Source organism: Homo sapiens, chromosome 2 (assembly GCF_000001405.40).
Source record: "Homo sapiens chromosome 2, GRCh38.p14 Primary Assembly".
Lineage (NCBI taxonomy): Eukaryota > Metazoa > Chordata > Mammalia > Primates > Hominidae > Homo > Homo sapiens.
Window position 1 is genome coordinate 97,025,428 of NC_000002.12, and position 9,171 is coordinate 97,034,598.

Genomic DNA, 9,171 nt, shown 5'->3' on the forward strand with positions numbered 1-9,171 from the left:
GTGTTCTGATGTTCACACAATGATGAAATCGCCTAACAATGCATTTCTCAGAATGTATTTTGTTGCCATAGGATGCATGACTGTTAAATTCCTGTTCTAGCCCAAAGATTCTGTGAAAACTTCTGTGTAAAATAAATTTTTCCCCCCAAAGTGATGAGGTGTAGAATTTACTGTATTAATAGGAGGGAACTCTCACACTTACAAGTGCATTGTACAAAACCCCGTCTGCCCATGATGTACAAAAGTTGTTCCTGAATGAGATCATTAAGTTGGAATCACACACCCACATATTTCCAGAATTCCATCCAATAAATTCACAAACACTTGAAAATCACAATACGTATTTTAGGTAATGGGCCATAAGGGATTATTTTAATTGTAAGAAAATGTACAAAAAATTTGCTTTTTACAAATTTTCTATTTAATAGCAATAAAATGAAGTGACACTAAAGTACAAAAAAGCCTGAACAGTATGATTTCTTTGTATCAACAGTGAAGGGCTCCCTTGTATATGGAGTTCCCAAACAGTAAGTTTTCTTAATCCTGATCATCTGTGGCCAGTGTAAAAGAAAGGCCTGACAGGAAAAGTTAAGGAGCCAGCTGGGTAACTCCATATGAGGGAACTCTTGGTGACATTCAAAAAACTCACACTTCCACTTTCAAAATCAAGAAACACACCAACCCGGCCCAGAGGTTTCTCTATATAGTGAGGAAACTCTGGGGAGGTGGTCAAGAGACTGAAATGATTATCCACCTTCAGACACAAAAGAAGAAATATGTCCTCAGAGTTAACCATTGTGCTATTCTTCCTTATCCAGGAGTCGTTACAGACTCCCAGAGCCCAGTCACAAGAGTTGTCCACATCCAGCTCCCAGTAGTGTTTCCCAAAGGAGAAGACCCTGGCTCCCCATGCAGCAAAATAGTCAGATCTGTCAGAATTCAAAGGTCCACGTCTAAACATCCAACTTCTCACATCCTCAAAGAGCCTGATATTGTGATTGGTTACTTCACAATGGAAGGAAATTTCCACTGTAGAAAAAAGAGAATATTCCAGTGAAAAGCAGTTTACAAATTCTTATGTTCAGATAAGAAAGAGATTCTCACTAGAAAACACAGGTCAAGATTAGAAAGAAACTTCTGTCTGGAAAAATGTTGGAATCAAAGGGTGTTAGGAGATCTGCACAAGTAAATGGCTAAACTAGGATGATCACAATTTCCATAAACTCAAAAAGTATAAAGGGGAGGAAGGTCATGTCTATGTCTCGTTAGCGACCTTTCATAACAACTGAAAAACTGGAAGCTCCTGCACTGCAGCCAAGTCCATAGCAATAAAATTAACCTTCATTGTCTCTTCTCTGTCAGGGCAGAGCAGGAGGCTTTGGACAGGAGATGAGGTGGGCAGCCATTCTTAGTCCCAAATAAAAAAGTTATCACTTTCCAGAAATATTATGATCTGCCACTTAACCTAGCAAATTCATACTTAAAGAGAAAATCTGAATCTGCCTTCTGAAAAGTGCAGATTCCTTGCAAGAATTATCTGACTTTCATGCCAGATTCAGGCACAGACTTCTTTTATTCTGCTGGATTTGTCATGATCTATCCTGGAGTTCTATCTAAGACCTCGTCAACCACCAAATCCTGTTCCTATTGTTGACAGATTCTCAGTTTTTGCATTGTTATATAAGTTACTCATGTATGCTTTAGTTGATTAAAAACATGATTAAAATTATAAATGCTATGAAACTTCACCTAAAAATGTATTTAAAAAAAACACTGTCACTCAAATCAGTCGTTAACTGCACTGAATTTGAAATTGAAATGTCCTGAATTCAGTTCTGTATACTTCATGTAATAATTGTATACATGAAATTGTATCAGAGAATGGTTCCTAAAGTCCTAAAGAGCCCTTCTGCATGTTTTATTTTTCTAAGAAATTTGTTATATGGCTGATTCCTATTACATTTCACCAGCTTTTATTTTGTTTTGTCTGTTTGATGATAGTGAAACTATAAATACCTATTCACAGGCTATTCTCTTCTTCTAGATGAAAGATCATTACACTGGGAAAGCTGCCCATAGAAAACCATAATTGAAGGCATTGCATGGGGATCCCACCAACAGGGCCACACTCACCTCGGAAGCGGTTGAGCCTGTACACCAGTCCAGTGATGGGCCCTGCTGTGAGCTCTGGATTCACAGGCTGGGGCATGTGCAGCAGCACGGGCTCACTCCTGCAAGGAAGTAGGTTGAGTTGGTTAACTTTCTGATGTCTGTGTTTAAGAAACAGATTACAATAGAAAATGCTTCATTCAAGCTCACTTCTGATACCGTAATGTACCTCCACAACGCTAGGTTGGGTTTGTGGCTCTTAGGGAATCTTTCTAACTATTCACTCCATTTCTAACCTACTGCCACTGAAAGATAAATGCCTCTCTCCCTATCTGCCACCAAATAGTTTATCTCTAATTATGATTCTGAATCGCAAAAAGAGGCAACTGTATTCTAGCAACCTCTGCATTGCACTCTTCAAAACATAAACCCCTGAGTCACCTGGGAAAGTAAGAAAAGATTAATATCTGATAAAAGGCATAGGTGACATTCATCATACCACATAAACACATGAGTACACACACATACACACACAATCACACTGACACATTATGGTGTTAGTAAATTATGTTTTCACTTTGTTGGAAACAGCTTGATGTTTTTCATAGCATGCCTTGTGCTCCAGTTTGCACTGGTGGCCAAAAACATACCTTGCCACGATGTCTCCCAAATCCTGTAGAGAGAGAGAGAGAAAAAAAAAATGACTTCTTTAGAAAGTTGTTATTCTTGTTGGGTGAGGTGGTTCACACCTGTAATCCCAGCACTTTGGGAGGCCAAGGTGGGTGGAACACCTGAGGTCAGGAGTTCCAGACTAGCCTGGACAACATGGCAAATCCCATTTCTACTAAAAATACACACACACACACAAATAGTGGGGTGTGGTGGTGCATGCCTTTAGTCCCAGCTACTAGGGAGGCTGAGGCAGGAGAATTGCTTGAACCAAGGAGGCAGAAGTTGCAGTGAGCTGAGATTGGGCCACTGGACTTCTGTCTGGGTGACAGAAGAAGACTCTGTCTCAAAATAAACACACAAAAAAGTTGTTATTCTGCCTATCTGGTCTTCAGGTTTTGAAAACTTTAGAATTACCACATACTATCACTGCAACTATTTTAAAATGTATTCTTATCTCTAACAATTATACCAGTAAGACCTATTGACAATATGGATTTCTGATAAATTAAGGACCCTAAATTTGAGTGAGAGAGAAAGGTGTGAGTAGTGACTGCGCATTGCTGCAGCTGTCTACAACGTGGTCTTTTTCAGGGCTAGTCCCCAAAGTGTAATGTGGCTCAAATCAAGAGCATTTCAAACCTAGGACTTCCCAAAAGGAGGAAGAAGGAAATGTCAGTTTTTCCATAATTTCTATGTATTATCCATTGGAGTTAAAAATAGAATTTTCACATGAAATTTTTTCTTCCAGAGTTTTAATGAAATGCGCTGGAGGAGGAAGCTTGTGGTAGAAAATGTTGTATGGAAAGCTAGTTGCACAATTCCATAAAGCTTTATTTCCATTATATAGGGTAGGAGTTATAGTTTATCTCTATAACCGGTGGGAATGACTCTCATCGTCAGTGCAGGAAACGAAGAAATAATGTCTTTGGTACCCAATGGAAGGCAAAGATGTAAAGGTCAGCTAACACAAAGTGTCTCAAGGGGCATCCTCCGTTCTTACCTGGAGCAGCTCCACATCTGGTTTATGACACATTTCCATTAGTTCCTGATACATTTCTTTTAAGTGTTTACTCTTTTGATCCATTTTGACCCAGCTTCTCTGGAGTTGCTGAAAAATCTCTTGGTATTCCTTGTTCAGTCTCTCTAAATGTTGTTTTTCTTCCTTATGGAGAACCGGATGCAGCTTCCTATACTCATTCCTGATCATCTGTGCCCGTAAAACCACATCGCCCTGTAGGGATATGAATTTTGTAGGTTATATACCCAGGCCTACTTCCACATCACAGAACCCACAACTTCATCCTCCTCATTCCTTCTTTTATTTTCCATCCTTTACAAACAGGATGATGAGTTAAGCAAGACCTTCCTTCAAAATTTGTGTAATTCATCAATTCCCAAACATCTGCAAAAAAGCCCTTTGGATTTAAATGTTTAAATCTATGTCCTCTCAAATCGGAAATACCATTAGAAAACAACTAAAATTTATGATTGATTGTTCAGTTGTCATGGATAATACACATAATCTTTGTTACTCAATTAGGTTGTTGTTTCAAATCTCTGTACTTCACAGCCTGAACAATCACTCTTAGTAGAAATGTTTTTAGTATATTATAATCAGGATCAGAAGCCATCACACAAAAAAGATCTTAGTAAAAAATTTAACCCCCATCTCTCAAACCGACTACCTCTTTTCTGTCTCCTGTCTTTCTTCTGTCAAATCCATAGACTCTGTATTGCACTGCCATTCTAAGAACATTAATCCCCATTCCATTGTGTTTCTCCTCTCAATAATGACATATTTATCCTCTCACTGCCCCAGTCATTTTTTATCCCTTCTCCTCAGCTTTTCCTCACGTTGCATTTTCTCCTACTTGGACTGGCATCATGTGGGTCCTTTGCTATCAGATTTCACCAGCACAGGCACATTTCTTAAATTACTGTTCCCACCCGATTTCTTCCCCCTGGACAATATCATATTCACCAATAAATGCCTTTATTTCTCAATTATATACTATTTAATCAACATTTCATAATTAATTTTATACAGAAAACTCTGTCTGAAATACTTATTAATTTTAAGCACATACTTGCCCTTCAGAATTTATATTTATTTTTTACTTATCTGAAAAGCATTTACAGAAAACCTGAACAATCATTATATTGAACAGTCTGGTTGTTTTCCAGCCTATGAATAAACACATGACAAAATCTGGCATATGAGAATTTCAACTCAAGTTGCTAATATAAATGTTGTCAGCATGCCTGTCTCAAGCTGGTCAGGAGGACTCACGGTCTCATACTCACCCTCCAGAGGAAGGCTGTTCTTCTCTCCTCATATAGATTTCTCTGATTTTCTTGAATCTTTTTCCATAAAATCCTCATTTGCTTTAAGAGTTTCTCCTGCAAAAGAATTACAAGGTTGAACAACAGAAAGTCAAATACCAAAGATTCCACAATCTGAGTGGTATACACAGGCAAGGGATCTAATATATAAATACATTAGTGAGAGGAGAAAAAACCAAAATTTTTCATTGCTCATCCTTAATTGATATTTTTCAGTTTGAGGTTTCAGAATGTAGAACAGTTTAGGGAACTGAAGAATGAAGATTTCCTGTAACCCAGCTAAATTAGTTCAGGGAAACATCCTGCTTCAGAATCCACTATGCTAGCCCCTGATTTTGTAGCGTGCTACTCCCATACTCATTTGTCCAGTAATATTAAATATATTTCCAAAATACATTTCTTTGCACTGGTAGCTTTGGTAGCTTTTCAATGTCATTAGCATTGAACTGTAGAGTCAATAATAATGACATTTACTTAATCAGTCTCTTTTTGGGTGCAAGCTCCATGAAGGAAGGTAGAGTTGCACATTTTATTCAAAATGTCATCATTGGTACCTAGAACAGCACCTGGCACTCAGTAAAGAATGGAGTAATCACCGTGATTCTCATCATCCTTCTAATCTCTTTAACTCTGCCACCCTCCAGCTTTCAGGTGATCACAGAGCTATCTCTTACCCGGTGTTCCTCAGCTGCCTCTTCGATGGGATAGTGTTTGTGAGCCCCGTGCTCCTGAGAGTTGGAGCACAGCAAGCAGAGGAGACTCTTGTCCATGTCACAGAACATCTTCTTTGTTTGCCTATGGGTCCCACATATTTGTTTCTCAGAGCTCAGGAATTGCCAGAGACTGGCTTTTCTGGCAATGGTCACTAAATTCTTCAGAAGAATATTGGTTTTGAAGTCCTTTTTCTGTGATGGTTCCCTGCATGCACGGCAGTTGGCAGGACTTTGGGCTTCCTCCCAGGAAAGGCAGAGAGGGCCTGCAGAAGCTGTGCCCACAGCAGATGGTGACAGGGTCTACCAGGTAGTTCAAACAGATGACACAGGCGAGTTCCTTCTGGAAGGCATGTGAGAAGTCTGAGTCCATTTTCCTAAGGAAAGAAAACCACAAGAATTTAATCTTCTACCCTGGAGAGACAAAGATCCAAACAAAGTTTGAATCGGATTGTGATAGAATAATATCCTTTCTTTCTAGAGAAGTATAGGCTTTAATTTGCAATGACAGAAATAGGAAAAATAGAAAACTAAGGCACAAAGAGACATCAACCTCTAGAAAAAGTGACTGTTCTCCAATTAACACATGACCAGCTTTCCAAACTCTACTTTCTTGCATGGAAGAATGTTGGATTTTTTGAGGTGTTAGTATCCACCAAATTGCTTGGGCTTCAAGGGTTTCATCAACCTGTAAACTCAAGGTTTGAGTCTTGAATGGTCTGAAAGTCAGTAACACTCTTAATTGCCAGTGATTGGTTTAGAGAAGGAAAGCTAACTAAGCTCTTCTACTCTCATTATTTTATTTAACTATAACAACCATCCATAATGACTTTTCCAGAAGGACATTGCTTGAAATTGTTAGAGCAGAACTCATACTTTGACCCAAATCAGAAAAAGCTAGCCTTTACTCTCCAAGGAAAAACAGTCAAATCAAGGTAAGGTACCTCTCCAAGGTAAAGCTAAGAATCATTGTTTTTCTAGGCTGCTATGTTAATTTAATCAACAAAAACTTTCTGGCATGTTTACTGTTCCTGGACAGTCTGTTAATTTGGGGATATACTGGTTAATATTACAACATCCTTAAAAGACAGACAATTAATTAAATTTACAAAAAGATAATGATAATTGAAGCATTATCATTACTCTTTCACACAATCAGGAAAAGAGTAAGTATCATGCAATAGAGGCCGGGCACGGTGGCTCACGCCTGTAATCCGAGCACTTTGGGAGGCCGAGGTGGCTGAGGCGGGCAGATCACGATGTCACGAGATCAAGACCATCCTGGCTAACATGGTGAATCCCTATCTCTACTAAAAAATACAAAAAATTAGCCGACTGTGGTGGCAGACGCCTGTAGTCCCAGCTACTCTGGAGGCGGAGGCTGGAGAATGGCGTGAACCCGGCAGGCGGAGCTTGCAGTGAGCCGAGATAGTGCCACAGCACTCCAGTCTGGGTAACAGAGCAAGACTCTGTCTCCCCCCAAAAACAAAAACAAAAACAAAAACTAGGCACTAGACAGTAAGTCAGCGTTTTAAATGTATGTTTTGCTAAAATACAAATAAAAATAAAAACCAAGCCAGGGAAGGTGATTCAAGCCTGTAATCCCAGCATTTTGGGAGGCCAAGTCAGGCAGGTTTTTTGAGCTCAGGAACTCTAGACTGGTGACACGGCAAAGTGTCTAGATCATCCTGTCTCTAAAAATACTTATATAAATTTAAAAAAAAAAGGCCGGGCGCGGTGGCTCAGGCCTGTAATCCCAACACTTTCAGAGGCCGAGGTGAACGGATCACAAGATCAAGAGATGGAGACCATCCTGGCCAACATAATGAAATCCCGTCTCTACTAAAAAAAATACAAAAATTAGCTGGGCGTGGTGGTGGGCACCTATATTTCCAGCTACTCTGGAGGCCGAGGCTGAAGAATCGTTTGAACCTGGAAGGCGGAGGTTGCAGTGAGCCAAGAGCGCCGCTGCACTCCAGCCTGGCAATAGAGCGTGATTCCATCTCAAAATAAATAAACAAACAAATAAATAAATAGCTGAACATGGTGGCCCATGTTTAATCCATAAACCTATGGATTATGTTTAAAATAATTTTAAAAAAGAAATGGAGCCGTTTTTAAAACTCAGAAAATGAGATCATTTCATCTAAAAATAATCTAAGCTTGCAGATAAATTAAAGTCCCCAAATTTTGTTTTGGTTTGTAACCTAATAGTAGCTCCTACTCTGGAAATTGTGTACTTACCTCAGAAATATATCTATGTTCTCACCAAAGCTTGCTGTCGAATCAGATGAATTCAGCTCAGGGATGAGAGTCTCACAGTGCAGTGCTGGTAGCTTTCGGAAGTCCCCAAAGCCAGTTGCAAAGCTACTCTGTGGGCTCTGGAGAAGAATGAGCTTGGCTCCTGAAGTGTCGGTTTATAAATCTCTGAAGACCACACCCCTTTCTTCCAATTGATTGCATTTCACAGGGCGTAGGTGGGTGTTAACATAGATGATTAAGTTTCTTCAAAACAGAAGTTTTACGTTTATTTATTTATTTATTTTTTGAAAGGAGTCTGGCTCTGTCGCTGGCTAGTTTTTTTCTTGCATTTTTAGTAGAGGGGGGTTTGATATAATTGATATAATAGGAATTGCAAATAGAGAAGCCCACACAAGCTAACCAAATTAATTCTAGTTTATTGGATAAATGGCATGATATGTATTCTAGTTCAAATTTGAAGGTGGGTATAAATCTTTTCAGACACTGGAGATGAGACATTTCACCAAAATTGGGTGTGAGGAAGAGGAAAGAAATAGAATAGTATATAAAATAGTATATAGAGTAAAAATATAGTAAAAGGAAAAATCAATCTGCATAATATGGTGTATGGCTAAATGGTTTTTAACATTTAGGCGAATCAGACATGGAAAAATCCTAAAAGGGAGATTAATAGAGGAGATAATTGACTCAGTAAGAACTGTGAAGAAGCATCTCAGGAAGAGAAACTAGAAGTCTTTATATAGGTTTTGATTTAAAGAGGGAGAGAGAATAGGAACATTGAAAAAGATGGACAGAAAGAAATAACAAATATTCAAGACTCCTTGCAAGAGTGAGGCAGAAAGTTTATAGATTGCTTGATTACACCCAGCATATAATTATTTGAAGTTTTCTGTTGAGAGTGAGAGTATGTAATCCTTTTAACCAAATGTCTCCGCAGAACTATGTGTCATTAAGTAAGGTGATAATCAATATTCAATATCAAAAGATGCGTCTATTTCTCGATGAGGAGAAGCAACTGCATCTGCAGGCACTGGACAGAGAAGCAAAAGGGCTTTTCCAACAACTACAAGACAGT

The 9,171-nt window shown here is 38.9% G+C and overlaps 1 pseudogene; it reads right to left on the bottom strand.

The window, feature by feature from the left end:
* On the bottom strand, positions 344 to 6,219 carry TRIM43CP (tripartite motif containing 43C, pseudogene; annotated as a pseudogene).